At 36.9% G+C, this 19,996-nt stretch overlaps 1 protein-coding gene across 14 annotated transcripts in view; it reads right to left on the bottom strand.

The window, feature by feature from the left end:
- LINGO2 (leucine rich repeat and Ig domain containing 2) overlaps positions 1-19,996 on the bottom strand; it is a 1,275,985-nt gene that overhangs the window by 426,595 nt on the left and 829,394 nt on the right. For 12 of the 14 annotated variants that reach the window (NM_001258282.3, XM_047422814.1, XM_047422810.1 and 9 more), the window contains one exon: positions 8,625-8,657. The exons of the other annotated variants lie outside the window; for them this stretch is intronic. The gene's annotated coding sequence lies outside the window, so the exon portion shown is untranslated. The remainder of the gene's footprint in view (positions 1-8,624; positions 8,658-19,996) is intronic. 14 annotated transcript variants of the gene reach the window in all.

Genomic DNA, 19,996 nt, shown 5'->3' on the forward strand with positions numbered 1-19,996 from the left:
ATGAGTGCAAAGGATATGTTGCAAGTGATTGATTGACTAGAAATAATTCAACATTCTTTTTTGCAAGAGTCTCCTTTTTTTCAGATGCTTTCTCTGTTCTGAGTGTCATCATCTACCACTGTTAGCTTTAGTTTTTTTTTTTTCTCTATGTTGTTTTCTAACACGGATACAAGGTAAGATGAACACCACAGTCAAAATGGCATCATGCTGCTGAAGCTGACATCAAGCACTTTTGGCGGTCTTCAGAAAACAGCTTCACTTGGTTCTGTGCTTAATGTCTAAGATGTGGAATCTGCCAAGGCACCTGCCATTTTATATAGCTCTCTAATCTTCCTTTTTATTAGCTGTCTGCAAACATCATCACACTGACTGCTTGGTTTAAATTGTGTTCACTCTTGTAATGTAAAAAGATAAGAACTGTCCCCAAAGATATAAACTTAGACTCTTGTATTGTAGACAGTTATGTTTTCAACGTAATTTTCCTTGAAACAAAATTCCTTTATAATTCAACAAGAAAAGAGTCTATCTGTTTGCCTCCTAAGTAAATATTTTGCATTACAATTGTCCAGATGTGCAAGATGCTTACTGAAGCTTTCTTTGTTTAATCACTAATTTTTTAGATCAGTTGTTTAAAAAGGCACACACTATGGCCTATATTCTCATTCATTCACATATTTATTTCATTCATTCAAATAACATTAATTGGGTTCCTGCTACAAACCTTATACTGTGTTATGTAGTGTAAATACCAAGAAGAATAGGATGCTTTTATTTGAGAAATCAGGTAGGAAAGATAAACCCACAAAAACATAAATTAAAATACATCATGTTAAGTGCTATAATAGACATATGAGCAAAATGTCTTGGGAGCACAGAGGGATTGCTCTCTAAGTTCAAATAAGGGAGTATAAGGTTTTACAGAGGAGGGAGAGATATTCCAGTTAGTCTAGTCAGTGTGCTGCAGAGAGGGGAGAGAGTGGGAGAGGGATGATGGCGGGAAAGGGCATTCTCAATAGAGGGAACGTGAAGAATTTAGTGTGGTTGGAACAAAGGGAGCTTTCTAGAGGAAGATCAGGATAGGAGGTTGAAAATGTCACCTGGGCCAGATTGTGAAAAATGTATGTGTCATGCTAAAGAGCCTGGAATTAATTGCCTGGGTATTGGGTAACCAATAGAAATATGACTAAGAGCTAAGAACTGGATCTGTGCTGCAGAGGCGACCCTATTTTCAAACAGGCTGTATAGTGAAATACCAGAAAGCAAAACTGCAACACCCCCTAGTGCAAGAGCTCGCACCACGTTCCTAACCTGGAATGAGGCTCCTGCAGGCCTGGGTGAGGGTTGATTGCTGAGGTAGCAAGTGAGTAGGCAGTTAAAGGGACCTGGAAAAAAACAAAACAGGGAACACGAAGGAGAAGACAGGGCCACAGGGAGTGAAGAGTGGTTTGGAGTAGGATTTCTTCACCTGCTTTGGGGTTTACGGTTTACCCTGCCTTTTCAGAGTTAAAGAATGGGGACAAGAGCTAGGAGGTACAAAGGAACCTTTGGATCCTCTTTTTTTTTTTTTTTTTTTCCTCTCTCTCTCTTCCTTTTCTTCCAATGGGGAAATGAATCCACTTTGAGACTACTCTGGAGGCCTTAGAGGCAGAGGCAGAGTGGGCAGAGCATATGTACAAGTCAGGGTCTGTCTGTGTGTGACTAAGAAAGGATGGAGTTCATAGTAAAGCAAGCCCTGAGTCAGGAGTCAGTCCTTTCCCAGGGGAGCTGCATTGCTTTCAAAAGAGATGTCAGAATTTCACCCTTACTTTGAACTTTTTCACAATGTTAAATCTGGGCCAGAATTTGGCTCAGACCCCTTTCTAAGTCTACTTTTCACATTTTCCTTAGTACGGAAACAGTCGGAGCCTGTTCCTTTTTCGTCTAACCTCCGTTGCTACCATATTAGTAACTACAGCTTGCTTCCCTGGTGGTTGTTGCATCTGTGAAGAAGAAGCAGGGCATAACATCATCCATTCTATAGAAATGAAGGACTTGGAACATTACTTAGTTTACTTATTCATCACTTGCATTACCTCTATATTGTATTTCATCCCTCTTATGTGATCTTTAGGCTGTGTTTGAAAGACTCTACCATGGAAAACTCACCAGTTACCTGTGCCCTGGATAGCCATGTTTTACAATAATGTTCCTTTTAATATTGAGCTGGATATGTTTTCTTGAACCTTTCAGCTCATGTTTTTATCACTTGAAACCAAAGCCAAATTGCATCTCTCTTCCACATAAGACTCATTCAAATATCTGAAAGAAGCTAACACATTTCTTAGCTCCTTTAAGAGGGAAATGAAAAAGAATGCTGGAGGACTCACTGCTTCATGTTAGATATTAAGGTAGGATCATTCACTTGCATTAGCTTCCTTGTGAGGAAAAGCAAAAGAAAATACAACAAATATACAAATAAACCAGTTAAAAAAAAAAAGAGTTACTTTCCCAAGGTAAGTGGTAAAGCAGGTATGTAAAGTTAAATTATAAATTTTTAATATTAAATACATTTAAATTTTGCTTTATTTTATGAAAGTAATACAGATTAATATTTTAAAAAGCCAAGTAGTTCTATAATAATATATTAATGGTACACTAATAGGAAAACATAGTAATAATAATAACCTGCTTTATTCTTATCAACAGGCTTACTCTCACCTCTTATATTTGTATATTTTGATAATAATCTGTATCTAATGACACAGGTAAAATGCCATTTTTTCTTCCTCCTCCTCCTTTTTATCTTTCTCATCGATTTCCCACATGGAATATACAGATTTAGCTTCTTAAAACTGCCCATATGACACATATACATTTATCTTCTCTATATAGTTGTATTATAATTTTGGTTAAATCAAAAGTCAGCACATATTATTATGACTGTTAATATTATCAGCTCAATAATATGATGTTCTATACATTTATTTCAATTCTTATCTCTCCTGGAGTTAGTAATTGCCCTGTTTCATGACTTGCATGATTTCTATAAATCTGTCATTAATTAACTCCCAAATCATCCTGCAGAACTGAACATCTTCTCTTAATATGTGTGAACACATTCATCATTCTTTCTGGTTTTGCTTATTGAACTGTATTTGGTTTTAAAACACTCCTCCTGGAGTCCTTCTTTCTATATTTTTGCTGCAGCTGGTCTGTTGAACTGGCTGTTCTCTAGAGGGGCTGCATAAGCTGATATTCCAGAACTTCACTGATAACCTGGGAAATGTTATCTCCTTCTTATATTCATGACCTTATTTCCTGGGGGCCATTTTCTCTTCTTTCTTGGTGGAGCATGTGGAAATTTGAGAGTATTGCTCCATGGAATTCTAGCTTTCAGGATTGATACTGAGAAGTCATGGTCTATTCTGGCTCTTACGCTTTTGTAGGTGACTCTTTTTTTCCCCTTTCTTCTCTCTCTGGAAGCTGTAGTGTACTCTTCTGTCTCTTCTATTCTGAGCTTCTATGGTAGCATCATAAAAGTTGTTATTATAGCATCACTGGGCCCTTTTAATCTGAAAATAATTCCGGCTATTAGTTTGCAATTATTATTTATTAATCACTCACCTCCAACCTTTCTTTATTTCAAGAACTATTATGAGTCAGATGGTGGGTATTCTGCATTAATTCTGGTTTATTGAACTTTTTCCCCTATTTTTAATCTTTTTGTCATTTTTTTCAACTTTCTGGAAACTCTCCTTAAGGGTAACTTCCAATATGCTTCAATTTCTTTCCTTCTTTTTCCAAGAGCTTTTACTTTTTTTCTTTCTCTTTGTCTCTCTCTATGTACATCTACCTCTATCTCTGTATCTCTATCTCTATCTCATCTATCTATACATCCTGTTCTACTTTAGGGGATATAATGTCTCATCATTTTGACAGTATTATAGCCTTTCCATTGTTTTCTATTACACCCTGCATTGTCTTATTTTTTTTCTGTTTGTATTGGTGTTCTTCTTTCATGGTGTACAATTCTCCCCTCTGTTTATAGGAGTTTCCTTCTGTTTATTGCAGAACCTCTAAGGCTGATTGGAATCTCTGGGTGTGTTTGCTGGACCTGTCAGTTGGTAAGCCTTAGTGCAGCCCACAATAAAGCACTGAACTTTTTGCTGGGAGAAAACAGTATCCCTATCTGCACTTCTTTTCTTTTGAGTTCTTTAGTCTCCAGAGAGGAATCCTTTGTTTTTCTGCTTGGCTTCCAGAGTTCTGAGAGCGAAGTTAGAGAGATGTATTAAGGGTCTCATTTTTTCATAAGCATACTTTTATTTAATTATCTTATTTTTTGTATACTTTAATTAAATCCTGTTTTCATTAGAGTGCCTTCTTTCTTTCTCTTCTTTTCTTTTCTTTTTTTTTTTTTTCTTTTTGAGACGGAGTCTCGCTTTGTAGCCCAGGTTGGAGTGCAGTGGCGCTATCTCGGCTCACTGCAAGCTCCCCCTCCCGAGTTCACACCATTCTCCTGCCTCAGCCTCGCGAGTAGCTGGGACTACAGGCGCCCGCCACCACGCCCGGCTAATTTTTTGTATTTTTAGTGGAGACGGGGTTTCACCGTGTTAGCCAGGATGGTCTCGATCTCCTGACCTCGTGATCCACCTGCCTCGGCCTCCCAAAGTGCTGGGATTACAGGCGTGAGCCACCGTGCCCAGCCTAGAGTGCCTTCTTTCTGTCCTAAACTGATCTTAGGATTTGCAAGACCAGTACTTCTCCAGTTGAATTACAGAATTCACAAAGTATATCTCAAGTCTTTGACAAAATGAAGCCGGGGTAGTTGCCTGGCTTCATGATGTGGGAAAGAATCTGGGAGCCCAATTCTTCCATTTACAAACTTTCAACCCCCATTTTAATGTTTTTAGTCACTTCCTTAATCCCTACCTTTAATATCTCTCATTTCTGGGCATTTCTGGGGATCAGCAGCTCAGACTCCTTTTCATTATTATTACTTTTCTGATTGCTTCAGTTTCAACCTTCTGTCATGCTACTATGACTATCTTTGTCCATCCACTTAACATTTTTGAAAATGTGTTTGCCATTTTTTGTCTGGTATTGTCTGTCACCTTTCTTGATTACTTTGTCCTTGGGGGGTTATGCATTATTTATCCTTTATTCTTATTTTAGTTACTTTTGGGGAGGGAGTAGAGATAAAAGCTCACACCATGTTTAATTAAAAGTGACACCATTGCTATAACCACTACACGTGCTGCCACTGCTTACAATTTTGAGTCCATCACCATGCTATAGAATATGCATGGCTAAGACAAGATTTACTGACATTTGGGTACACTCAGCATTTACATAATCTGCCTATTCTTATCTCTCCTCTTCCATAGGAAAACCTAGAAAGATAAAATCAGACAGGTAGGTGGGTAAGAGGGAAGGTTTTAGTAAGAGAGACTAGGTTGAACTACATAATAAAATGCTGGAAGAAAGGAGAGTGAGATACATATGTAGCAAAAGTGGCAAGAACTAGGGCTTAAGAAGAGCTTAAGGTTTTGATGAAGATTTGAAACATTGCAGTGTGAAAGATTTGACAGGTGAAGAAAAGGATTTGTGAAAAGAGTTGCCGTGAGTTACAGATTTGATCACCTTTAATGATCTTTGAAAGAGTAAAGTGAATATTGGTATTCCTCTTTAATTAATAATCATTGTATAATCTCTGCTTCTTTGACTGACATTCTGCATATTTTGAAGGGCAAAATAGGTTATTTATAGACTTCTAAATGTGTGGTGCTCAAATCTAAACACGACACTTTGAGTGTGAAAATATTAAACAGCTCTCACATGGAAAGAAGAGCTACATCCTATTTTCAAATACACAGGAAGGACAAAAGGAAATTAGATCTAAGATCTATAATAAAAAGGAAATTAGTTTTCTTATTCCTAATCTTTCTTCTGTATTTAAAAACTGAGTCTACTTATTCTAACGTTTAGCCTCTGGATCCTCTCTATCTATCCAAACATACCTTCACATTTTCAGTAGGCATTCTCTATTCTCTTCAGTCGCTCTAATGGTTTACCCTGCAAATCATTAAACCCACATAGTCTCAGATAAATTTAAGTGATTTCTTTTGACCACCTCCTCCTCACACACATTCCAAAATATACACGCATGCAAAAACAAAAACAAAACCCAGCCATCTTTCTTTGGTTTCTGGTTTCCTTCAGTGATTTTTTTTTCTAGATATTCTACAAAGAATATGAGTGGAATTCACTGAGTTGGAATAGAGGCAGAGGTTCAGTGTTATTGATAAGGTTTAGAATAATAATGAACTGCACAACATTTACCTAAACTTTATAAATATGGTAAAAATACAGAGAAATGATAGCCATGAGCTTTACCTTCAGGGAGATCATGATATAGTCAGGGAAGTAAAAGGGTTTTTGAGAAATGCTTAAAAATAGAGGACATAAACAATTTTAGCCAACAGATTGGTATGAAATGTGTTGTTACAGAAAGGTTTCTATTCCAAATGAAAGACCTTCCTATCCTCCATACCAACCACCACTGTGGGACGCCTCATGTTAAGATGGTAAACAATGTGATTGTGGACCCTATTTGGTCATTAGTGAACTCTGATTTAGAACAGTTTACGTATTTAACCTCTATAGGCCTGGATTTTATTATTTGAAGACAAAAATGATTAAAATGAATAATAGTTGAAGCATTTTTCAATCTAAAAATCTGTTACTGGGCTTCCCTTTTATAAGAAGGGCATGAGTATACCTACAGTGGCTAATGCAAGCCATCAGAAGTATCTACATAGAGTGCACGTAAATGGAAGCATGACCATGGGATATTGTAGGGATAGACTAGGTTTCACAGGCAGGTTCAAATTTGGGCCCCTTCACTCAAATATTTAAATGTTTCCTGGAGATGGGTCTGGAGTTATCAAGAATTATTTTCCTTTTTTAATTTCTCCATAAGGACATTGCAGATAATTAAGTTTTACCATTTATCTATGGAGTACAGTGTGGAGATGATAGCTCCATTTCAACCCATTGACGTTTTAAACTTTTATAACGAGAACACTAGTGTTTTAGTTTGTTCTAGCTGCTTTAACAAAATACCATCAATTTAGTGCATTGAAACAACAGAAATGTATGTCTCATTGTTCTGGAGTCTGGGAAGTCCAAGATCAAGGTACAGGCAGGAGTACTGTATGTTGAAAGCCTGCTTCCTTAGAGACAGCACTTTCTGTGTCCTCACATTCTGAGAGGGGCAAGGTAACTCCCTTGGGCCTCTTTTATAAGGGCACTAATCCCTTTCGTGATTCATGAACCTAATCATTTCCCAAAAGGCTTCATTGCCTAAGACCATCACCTTGGGGGTTAGGACTTCAGCAGAGTAATTTTGAGAGGATAAAAACATTCAGGCCATAGTACCTTGTCACTGCAGGGCTACGCTGTACCTTTATCCAAGGGTGCTCATATATAAATTCAGTTCTGAGTGTTCTATCTCAGAGGCCAGATTAGGATTTCTTTGTACTCTCCTAATTTACTTGAATTAAAATATACTTGGTAGTTATCGCCCTGATGATTTCCTCTTTGCCCCAATTATTTGGAAGTAGACATATTGGCATACACATAAGCTGAGGAATGTTAGGGAAACTATGCTCATTTATCAGATACAGCAAGTTAAAATCGAATACCTGTTAGAATAGGTGAAGGTTTATTGCTAGTAATAAGCAGAAAGTGCTGGAGCAAGGGGTAGGGTTGCGAATCTGTTGAAGGTCAGCCAAACAATGTACGAAGAGAGGAAATTAGATGACAGGACCTTGCACACAATATGTAACTAGGATTCATTGATAAAAATATATGAATAGTAGATGGATGGAATGATGGATAGATGGATGGAGTGAAAAATTATTAATATTAAATGTTAATATGAAAATGTTACATACTTCCAACTTCACAATTTTGCTACAGATTGAATCAGCTATTATATTTAATTGCTATATTGAATTCACTTAAGTCTATGTTGTACTTTTCTGTCCATGAGTGAGGAAAATAAAAACATAATGTTTTCTAATAGCTATTGGTGCAAAGCTAAGGATATATTTCTCTCTGCTACTTTCATATTGTTTCATATTAACATACATGTTAAATTCTGTCATTTATGACAACATGGATAGAACAAGGGAACATTATGCAAAGTGAAATAAGTCAGGCACGAAAGTCAAACTTCACATTCTTATAGGTAGACTCTAAAACAGCTGAAGTCACAGAAATAGAGAATAGAATGGTGGTTATAGAGGCTGGCTGTTGGAGAGAATGGAATGATGATAGTCAAAGGGTACAAAATTTCAGTTAGACAAGAAGAATAGGCTTTTTTTCTTGTTAGTTCTATTGCACAGCATGGTAAATCTAACTAATTCTAACTAATTATAGAGTATTTTATATTTGAAAATTGCTAAGAGGATAAATTTCAAATCTTCTCACCACAAAAAATGTTAAGAATTTAAACTGATGGATATGTTAACTAGCTTAATTATTCCACATTGCAGTCATAAACTATAACATTAGTTTTTACCCCATAGATTTACACAATTACAAATTGTCAATTTATAACAAAAATTATAAAATGTACCAACCTTGAAAGCTGCATTCTGTTTTTCTCACTTCACCTAAAAAATACAAAACACACACAAAAAGGAAACTGAAATAAAAGCCAATTAAAGTAACACAAGAAGTCAAAAAGACATTTTCTTTATTTCTTTTAACTTTTACCCATTTTTCTTGTTGACAGGAAAGAAGCATTTAACTACAGAGAGAAAAAAAACTGATAAAACTCTTTTTCTCCTATATTGTTTTTAATATATTTTTACTTTTTAAATTTTGTCATAATTTGCTTTTTAAAATTTCTTATGAGTATAGAAATTATGAATGACAATGAGTAAAAATGCAGAGGGGATGTTTAATAAACATGATTAAATTGTATGAAAGAAAAAATTATATAGGCAGCACTTATCCCATGGAAGCCATCATGATAAGATTTTTGATAAATTCAGGCAAGATTATTTTAAGGTGCTATTACAATTTCTTCTCAGGTTCTATATTTCTACTCTTGAATGCTGATTAGAACACAGGCTTTTGCGTCTTCTCTCTCCTTACTCCCCTAATAATCTGTTCTCCCTTATGGACCAAGTGATTATTCTGTTGTTTATAATAAATGCTCTACATTCCTTATGGAAATTGTAATTATGATGCTGAATATTCAAACTGCAAGCCACTTTTGTCAGGGAAATTGTAATTATGATAATGCTGTATTTACCCAAACGATGTTTTTTTTAGTCATTGTTCTCTTTGAGGAATAAAGAGGTAAGAGAAAAAAACTAACATAAAACATCATGTTGGGATTTAAGATATGGATTCAGGCCGGGCGCAGTGGCTCATGCCTGTAATCCGAGCACTTTGGGAGGCTGAGGCAGGTAGATCACCTGAGGTCAGGAGTTCAAGACCAGCCTGGCCAACATGGCGAAACCCCATCTTTACTAAAAATACAAAAATTAGTTGGGCATGGTGGCGTGCGCCTGTAGTCCCAGCTACTCGGGAGGCTGAGGCAGGAGAATTGCTTGAACTTGGCAGGCAGAGGTTGCAGTGAGCCAAGATCAGGCCACTGCACTCCAGCCTGGGCAATAAGAGCAAAACTCCATCTCAAAAAAAAAAAAAAAAAGATATGGATTCAGACAAGCATAATAATAATAGCTAATCTTTACTATGGCAGGCATGACACAACCAGGCTTACATGTGTATGACACAGATGCATGTTACAGGCATATGTGAATCACAAAGGTTTCTCCTTTAACCCGCACAACAACCTCATGAGGTAAGTAATAGTATTGTCCCAATTTTATAGACGAAGGACATGAGGCCTTTGTTCGGCACCACGACGTGAAGGCCTACGGAGTATTTGATACATCAATATATGTAACATGACTCTACTTTTGTTAAAAATATGTTTTTATTTATATATATATATATATATATGTAATATCCAATTGTGCATAGAAACAAATCTAAAGGAGTAGCTATCAGACACTTAAAGTAACCTTTTAATAAGAGGTTGAAGAGGGAACTTTTTTCCTTCATGATACATGAATATTATGCTTTAAGTGTTTATAATATTTTTTTATAAGGAGAAAATAAATTTTTAAAAATGTAACAACATAGAAAGAAGGACATCCAAAAATAAATGCAAAAATTATACTATTTTAATAAGAAAGCAAAAACCAAACAAAACACAAGGCCGATCACTGAAACAGCTTATTAGGTGGGTCCCTAGATAAAATGGGAAGCAGACCTCCAATAACTCCTTTCATCTGCCTGCCTTCTTTCTAGCTTGCCAGATCTGTACAACCAGAGCCCCAAATAAGGATGGAAGCTCTATCCTTTCCTCCTTAGCTCAGCAGTAATTGTTTAGGATTGTTTCAATATTGATAAGCAACTACTGATCACCCACCATGTATAAGCACTTTATAAGCAGGTTTCAATATTCTATAATAACCATTTTACTCCGCTTTCACAAATGAGAAAATTGAGTCTCACAAAAGTCATTTATTTGCCCAAATTTACCAAGTTAGCCTGTGTTCTTTTAATTTGACAAATTGACCCACCTCGACCAAAAGTAAAGTAAGATTGAAAAGAAACTCAGAAACTGAAGGCAAACAAAAACAGGAAATTAAAAAGATAAGGACAAAGTATATAAATTAGTGAGTTTTTAGAGGACGACCCTCTTGTACAGCTTAAGAACTCCCAGGACCTATTCTTGGACCTTTTCTGGACTTTGTTATGTTTCTAACACCCCACCCAAGAAATTCCAACCCCTTATCGCACACACACCCCTTAACACACACACACACACACACACACACACACACACACACACACACATACACCCCACACTAAGCTTCTCTCCACTCCTTTGGCAGCATCCATCTGCTGCAATGGGACCGTTCAATTATCCATTTCTGATTTTCCATACCTGAAAATGTGGATGAGCTGTCCAACCTAATAGCAACAGGGGTAGATGCTGGGTCTCAATTCAGTATTATTCCCCGGTTCAGCCTGCTAGTCAGTAGTAAGCTGATTATGACATCTACTACCTTAGAAGGAGCAGTAACTCATTTTGACTAGAACTGAGCCAATTCCAAATTAGGGTTTGCCTTATATGCCTGCAGGGCCTTGTTTAGCACCAAGATCTGAGGGCCTACAGAGTGTCTGAAAGGTGAATACATAATTCTGCATAATATCATCCAGACCAATGCGACTACTTTGGACGGAGGTAGAAAGTGGGTACATAGTCAGGAGATCCACTTGTCCTGGTACGCACTGCATGCCGCAGAAGGTGCTGGTCTGATGAGTGATGGAACAGCCTTTGGAATCCTAAAGATGTGGTAAATTCTCTAAATCAATGACCATTCTTTGATACTGCATCCCCAACAGGTAGAATACATGGGTCTAGGAACGAAGGGGAAAATATAGAAGTGGTTGAACCTAGCATCACTTCCACAGTCTTAAACGGGAAATTTGCATTTCCTGTTCACAAAAGTTTAGGCTCTGTGGGTCTAGAGATCTTGGTTTTCAGAGGGAGGTTGCTTCTGAGAGGAGACACTGCCTCTGAGAGGGGACACAGTACGAATCTCATTAAGCTTCAAGCTATATCCTACACCAAATTACTTTGGGCTCCTGTGCCAAGAGATTGGCAGCAAGGAGAAGCGTCACTCTCTTTGCCAGGACAATTATCTCCTCATCAGGATCTGATATGGCTGCTATTACACAATAAGGGCAGAAAAGAATATCTGGCATGCAGGTGATACACTAGGCATTTTGTGAACTTTCCTTGCTTTTTTTTTTTTTTTGTAATAAACGGACAAGTGCAGCAGCCTAAAAATAAAATGTTGAGGAGGGGTTCAGATCCCTTAGTAATAGTCTGTGTTACCCCATAAGGTAGGCCACATATGTTCATTAGGGTACTGGCTGAGGATGGGAGAATTTTAGAATGGGTAGGAGAAGAGAAGAAGAGAAGAGAAGAGAAGAGAAGCGAAGCGAGAGATATTAAGTATCTATTGTGAGCTTGAATAGCAGGGGCCATGGTTCCCCACTAATCTTCTTCTAAGAGGTTTCCTAAAGATGGCAACCTATTCGGATTCTGGAGGAGCTGTTCTCAGATGGGATAAATATATTATATGATGCAAGTAGTGCCAAGTAGATGCCACATGGCATCACCCACTTCGTGACAAAGACTCACTGCCCTAGCTGCCTGAAGTGCTGGCTGCTGGTAGCCCACAGCTGAGTCCTTCTCTGGGAATTTTCCACCTTCCACCCGAGGGAACTGCCTTGACCAAGACAGGTTATTCACAGGCAGCTCATGCTAATGACTGATTAATATTGTACTACAAAGACCGGACTCCCTTTCCTCAGCTTGGGACACCTATAAATACATTGATCCCAAGTAACTTCCCAATAAATTTCATGCATGAAAACCTCTGTCTTAGAGTTTGTTTCACCAGAAAATTTACCTAAATCAAGGTAAATTTGGAAGACATGGAGCAGAGAGTTGAACACAGATATGTCAGGCTCTGAAATCCATATCCTTTCCATTATATCTTTCTACCTATCAAAACGAAGAGTTGAAACAAATTTTCAGAACATTTTTGTGTATGCAGTAGACATAGGCAATGATGGTATATTTCAGCCTGTAAGTCATCATTCTTCATTATTACACAATAGCTACAATTATACTGCCATTGGAATATTAAACTAATGTATTTAGATCTCTTGAAATCTAGACATCTACAGAGATGTTAGTAGATATGTACAAACACACGTTGATTTATAATATTATATTAAAATACAGTTGACCCATGAACAGCACAGATTTGAATTGTGCAGATGCACTTATACATGGAAATTTTTCCATAAAAATTATATAAGTATGCCTGCTTCCCCTTCCACCTCCCCCACCTCTTCTGCCTCTGCCATGCCCGAGAGAGCAAGACCAACCCCTCCTCTTCCTCTGCCTTCTCAGTCTACTCAATGTGAAGAGAAAGAGGATGAAGACCTTTATGATGGTCCAGTTTTACTTAGAGTAAATATATTTTCTATCCCTTATGATTTACTTAATAACACCTTCTTTCCTGCAGTTTATTTTATTATAAAAATACAGCATACAATACATATAATATACAAAAGATGTCTTAACCTACTGTTTATGTTATCAGTAAGCCTTCCAGACAGCAGTAGGCTATTCGTAGTTAAGTTCTGGGGGAGTAGAAAAGTTATACACAGATTTTCAACTGTGTGTGGGGGGGTTAGTTTCCCAACCCTTGCATTGTTCAAAGCTCAAGTGGATATAGTATACATGTACACACATGTCTATATATCCTATAAAATGTATCTCAGCACTCATTCCAAGGTTACTGTGACCAAAATCCTTAATTATACTAGCCTATTTGCAAAGAACAATATGATACTTTTAATAATGCCATTTTTCTAGGAAGACTATTCAAGACTTCTCTATTTCAGAAAACTTAAAAGATTAGTTACGGAACAAGGGCTTACATTTTCTGCAATAAATGTAAGGATTTTATCAGGCATGAAATGTAGTCAGAACAATTTACGGTCCAGTAAAATGTTACTTCAGGCAGTATTTACAATCAGAACACAGAAGTTACCTAATTCTATGCAGTTGTGAGAAAATCCAGTTAAGATTTTACAAGCAGTGAACACTGCTCCACACTATTCCTCAAGAAATTCTACATCAAGTCTTTTATTTCATTCACAACTCTTAATTCTAGATCAAATCATTTATACTTTCTATTTAAGCATTTGTGGCATCACTGGTTTACTCAGGTTATGCCACCACTACACTGCATCAAAGGCTTAAATGTCATAAATACAAACGCAATTGTAGATAAAATTCCTCAGACAGAAAAGTAAAACTAGAGCATTCCAAGAAAGGTATCCTAACCTGTCCATGGTGAGGCAGAAAATAGTTGCTACATATCCAGGAAGAGCTACTAGCTTTAGTTCTATCTTTAATTGTGTTCAGTTAGTGGACAAAAGGTTATTTATGCCATTTTAAGCAGGGAGGCTTTTGAAAGAGCTCTCAAGTATCAGAGGGTTGTGAAACTCTTAAACTTGTGGTAACTGGGATAGGAAACTCCCCATGGAATCTGTGTTATATATCCCATGTGGCAATAAATACAGGAAACACTTTAATGAAGCATGCAGCTAATGGGGGACTTTCCATGAAGAGGCAGCAGGTTTTGCAAAGCACACTCTACTCAGTGAGCTTTAAGTCAAAGATTCTTCCAGACTTCCAGAAACTCTACTAGACCATTGCTCCCTACTGACTGATGAGGCTACGGAACTGTTGAGTTAGGCTTTCTAACTTTATTCTGGGATCATTCACTATTCTAAACAGCACCATTAATACATAAACCTGGAAACTTCAGAAAGGCAGCAACATAGATTTACATCAATTCATTCTTAATTTAATTGGGATTGTGGAAGATACAATGATGTATATGACCTACTTGCAAGCAAGCTTACTTTGACTTATAATGCAAGTACACCTGACACTGGCAAGAATGCACCTCAGTTTCTAGACATCAATATTCATGAGTTCAGGGAAGAAAGTCAATTTTTGCCCAAGACACCCAGATTTCCTATAGCTGAGTGACTGTCAGTACACAGTACATTACATTTAACATCACAAAGTACTTACAAAAAGTAGTCTGACAAACAGATAAAGACGGACAAAGGCATGGAGTTAACTTTGAACCACAAAGAGCTCTCCAGGACAGAGCTTATCAGCATGGAAAATAATATTTTAATAATTTCCTTTTGATATTAAAAATATTAAAAGTTATTTAACTTTTAATTAAATAACAGGGAGAGGTTGGGGCAATGCCATAAAGTCTTTCATATGGTAAATTTTGAAGGAAGTATAGTCAGCATGAAGCCATAAAATGTTTTTCAGATGAGAAGGCATTTTATAAAAATTGCTGAGGTAGCACCTGCAAGAGACTGAAAGCAGGTGTGTTTCATGTGTGTTTGATGGGGCCCTATTGACAAGGCTGGCAAATGTTGCTCAGTTTAACTAATTTGAAATCATGATTTTTTTCTCTCTCACTAGGAAAGTAGAGTGGTGTGGTTCAAAGAGCACTGTAAATAAAATCAGAAGCCCAGGATTTAGTCTATACTCTGCTCCAATTGGTTATCTATCTGTTTCTGTTCAACAATTTTACTTGAGTTACAAGTTAAATTTCGAGTACTCCCCTGCCCTCCTCCCCAAAACAAAACCAGCACTCCCTAATACAGAATGGTTTAGGCAAGAGTGCAGAGCAGAAGTATGACTTAGGATCAACAGGAAATGCGATGTGCCTCCCACAAACACGAATGCTATTGTATGCTTTATTATTATACCTGTAGTATATAGAGGAAGGTAGGAAATGAACCTGCTTTACTTTTAAGTTGTCATATCGAGATGGAGCATTGCTTTTAGTTGAAGATACCACATTTTATAAGATCCACAAACAAATGGGACACAATCTGGGAGGAAGGCTTCATGAGTGAAGAAACTAAAAATACTGCAAGGAATGGCAGAAGTTGCATTCAAGTGGGGGCATGCAAGGTTCTGGAACATCTAAGCAAGTATCATAACATTTTAGCTAGAGAAATTTGAAGTAACAAGAGGAAGAATACTAACTAAAAACTGTCTCAAGATGGCTTGTGTTAAGACAGGGGTTCACAAATTACAGGCCACAAACATCTTACTTCTTTTTATTTACAGATTATTTATGTCCTCTTTGCTGCTACAGTAGCAGAGTTAACTAGATGCCACACAGATGCCACACATATTTACAGCTGAACATGTTTACAATCTATTTACAGGAAAAGTTTGACTCCTGCCTTAAGAAATAGCCAATCCATCAATCATTCACTCATGTGTTCATTCATTTAATAAACAGGTTTCAAACATATACAATGTGTCTAAAATGTACCTGGCAACATACAGATAAGAAACAGTCTGTTTCTTAGCCTACCCACCAATTTCCATAAGGCCACCAGACGCAAGCTAGGTGACCATTAATAGAGGACATCGTAGAGGGGAGTAAATCATTGACTCAATGACTATAAAGGTTTTTTTTTTTTTCCAATGGTAAGAGTCTTTAAAATACAATACTTCATGGAGAAAAAGTCCATGAAAAATTGGTTAATGGAAATAGATGGAGAAGTAGGAGGTGGCAGTCTTCAAGGTACAGAAGAGTCAAGTTCAGTGATCAGAGAATGAAAACCAGACAAGTTGAATAAACATGTAGGGTAGGAGTGAGGAAGTACAGTATAGATGTCTGGAAAGATGAGAAACACCATATCGTGGAGGTCATTCAATGTCAAGCTTAATATTTTCTAGGTTATTTGGTAGCTAATAGGAAGCTACAAAGTCTTTCTTAAAAGAGATAGTATAAACAAAGTGAAGTTCAGGAAAGATCATTTTGACAGCGATATGTAGGATAGATTGCAGATGGAATATAGAACAGCTGCAGTCTAGGCTTAAAATAAGAACATGGAACACTAAGAATTGGATGGGAAGAGAGAAGCAGACATGAATGTGTATTTCACATGAATGAGAAATGCTAGGTACATAGCAACTCAGGCATATGAGGAAGAAATAAGGAGTAGAGGCTGGGTATAACTACGGGCTTGCCCTTGAGTATGTATTTCTTTCTCAGGTCAGGAGCTTCCTCTACACAGGGCCCAAAGGAACACAGTAAACACCATTTTGATTTGCATCAATATCCAGTGAAATCCACCATTGGTTGGTAAAAAGTGGTGTCCTTCAGAAAAGGATCCTTGACAATGACTATTGCTATACAGAATGGGGTTTGGGTTCAGGGAGAAAGCCATCAGTTTTTCCAGAGTCCTAGTGTGGAAGGTAACTTCAGAACAGAGCAAAAAAAACAAAAAAACAAAAACAAACAAACAAACAAAAACAAAAACAATTGCAGACTTTTGACTAACATGGTCAAACATGGTAGAAATAGGGAAAAGCTGTGAGTCTGTGGGTATTTGGGTGCCAGTGGCAGCAAAAATAATTTCAGTCTCCATTGGTTGGTGAGTTTCAGGCTGTTAATATAATCATACAGTTTGGAACTGAGTATGGCTACACATGCAGGTAAAAGATCTCAGGAATCACAGCCGCTCATGGAATACAGGACATAATTATAACTATTTGTGTGGGGAGTTCAAATATGTCTTTGTAATTTAGGCTGGAATGTATATGCCAACACATTTGTATCTTGAATATATAAAACCATATTTGTGTCTGAATCAGCACCATCAATAAAAAATACCATATTTTCAAAATGTTTATCTATTTATAAAGTTGCTCCATTATTCTTTGACTATAATCTTGGATTTAAAAGGAAATATTCACCCTCTGCCCCTACCTTAACCAATTTTGTCTGATGGAAGTGTTTAGCTTGGAGAAAGGTGGTCTTGTACTGACACTGAAAACATTGACCCAGATGGTCATTTATGTCGCACTTCTAACCCGACACTACAATTTGGGGAAGATTTTTGGCCAAATCATTAGAATGCTGCCCTGTGAGTCAATAGGCTTAGGCCACCATTTACATTTTGTTTCTTCAGTTTTTTTCTTTTTCTTTTTATATATCCATGGATTCCTGTACACTTTTAATAGCAGCATATTACAATCAGGATATTACAGTGTAAAGAGCCAAGTCTTTGGATACAGATGGACCTAGGTTGGATCCCAGCACTACTACTTATTAACAGGGAAATATTGAGCTAGTTCTCTACTTTCTCTGAGCCTCTGTTTCCTTCTCTATTAAATGGGGATAATAATACTTGCCTCAAGGTTTGTTTTGAGAATTAGTGAGGTAATAGATAGTACTTGGCATTTATTAGACACAAAATAAATATTCATTCCATTTCTTCTTTAATACTCTTTGTGATTATTAAGCTATCTCAGCTGGCTGCATTTATATTTATGACATTCAAAATATGAAAGCATTGTTACAAAATCCCAAATGTCTAGAATTCAGATAAAGATGTTCTCTCATGGAATGATTCACATGGAAAAACTCATTAGATACGTCTTTCCAAAATAATCACATTGATAAACTATGTATTAAATGATTTTAGTTAAATACCTACAACACATTGTGGACCATTACTAGGTGCTCATTTATTTTAAGGACAGAAACAATACACACAGGGAGAGTTAGCTGAACAGCAATTAAACACATTTCATGTTTCCTGTGTTGTACATCAGCAGTATTTAGAGCAAAGCCTTGAATCTCATGGGGGGCCATTCACATGCAGTCTGCAGCTCTTCAACACCTAAAATCTTCATACAGGATATTATCATTCAGTTCTATGGGCCACATGGTACATTTCAATAAAAAACACTAAAGCATGGTGGTCAAAAATACTTGCTCTGTTTTTAGACAGTTGACATAACTCTTTAACTTGCTGTGTGCTCTTTGGAAAGTTACTTGTCCCCATGATTCATTTTCTTAATCTGTAAAATGGGGATAGTAATAAATAGTGTTTACCTCCCTGGATTATTGTGAGGATTAAATGAAATACTACCACAAAAGTTCTTGATACATTGAGATCACTAAATAAATTTTATCATTTTTTCATACCTGCTTCCAAACAGGATTTGTAGAGATTTATTTCATATAACAAATATATAACAGTTAAAACAATGTGGACAAAAAGAACAAGGATCCTATAGTAAAAGGTGGTAAGTGTGGAAGTGAAGTCTTTTACTGTGCTAAGCCCAATCCAGAGCTAAGTCCCCTGAGTCCATGTCCCCACTTAAAATTTTTTCATGTATAGCTCCTCATCTGTAGGAAGAAGAATATTCACCCTACAATGCATGCAAGGACCTCCATGGGTGACTTCTGCCCACGTGGGTTGCTAGCAGCACTCACTCTTTCATTTCTAAAATTGAAACACTATAGATCACCATTCATTGTGTGTGTGTGTGTGTGTGTGTGTGTGTGTGTGTGTAAGATTCTACGTTTCTGCTCTGCCTCTTGTATATCTGTATATAGTCCCTCTCTATCTGGAATACTTTCTCCTCTGTTTTTAATCTTCCACAAGTGACCAAACAGTATGAAAAAGGCTTGAGAAAGTCCGTGATCACATTGGAGGAAGGTTTCCAAAAAGGCCAACATGCTGAAGGCAGTAGAGGCTACTGGTGAGGCAGCAGTTTCTAGAGAGTGGGCAGTCAAACTCCTCAGGGGATCTCTATCTGGAAAGGAAGCAGTCCATACAGAGAAACTCACAGTGCACGAAGCCATAAATATATACAGGAAATTGGAGGTGAGTGAAATCCAGAGGGGTTTGTCACTTCCAAGCCCGAACCACTAAATTAATACTGAATGTTGATTTATGTTAATGACATTTAGTAATGTAATTCTCTGTAAGAGCATCTGTATAATATTTCAGATATTCCCAGGGGTGCTTAGAGAAGGGGAGTTAGTCGACCATGTAATATTGTGTAAAATTAATTAAACAGAGATTTTAATATAAGGAAGCTCTGAATTGGAAAATACATCTGTTTTGTATATGCACTTTTTTCCACCTCACCTGCAGTGCTTAGGTTTGCATAGAATCCCTGTGTTAAAAGAATCTGGGGTAGAGAAACCTATGATCTTATGCTAATACAGAAAATAAAGTTATAAGGCTTGAGGGCAGGATTACAGCTATGAAAGTCATTTACATATGTTCATTTTCACTAAAATAAAACATTACACAATACAACATATGTGAACATCTATAAATATTATATTAGTGATAAATATTACTATATTACTGATCTCTATCATAATAGTTATTTATTTTAGACAATTTGAAAATTGCATTTAGACAATTACAGATTTTTAATAATATAATGAGCAAACCTGCCACTCAAAACAAAAAC

This window comes from Homo sapiens, chromosome 9 (genome assembly GCF_000001405.40).
Source record: "Homo sapiens chromosome 9, GRCh38.p14 Primary Assembly".
Classification (NCBI taxonomy): domain Eukaryota; kingdom Metazoa; phylum Chordata; class Mammalia; order Primates; family Hominidae; genus Homo; species Homo sapiens.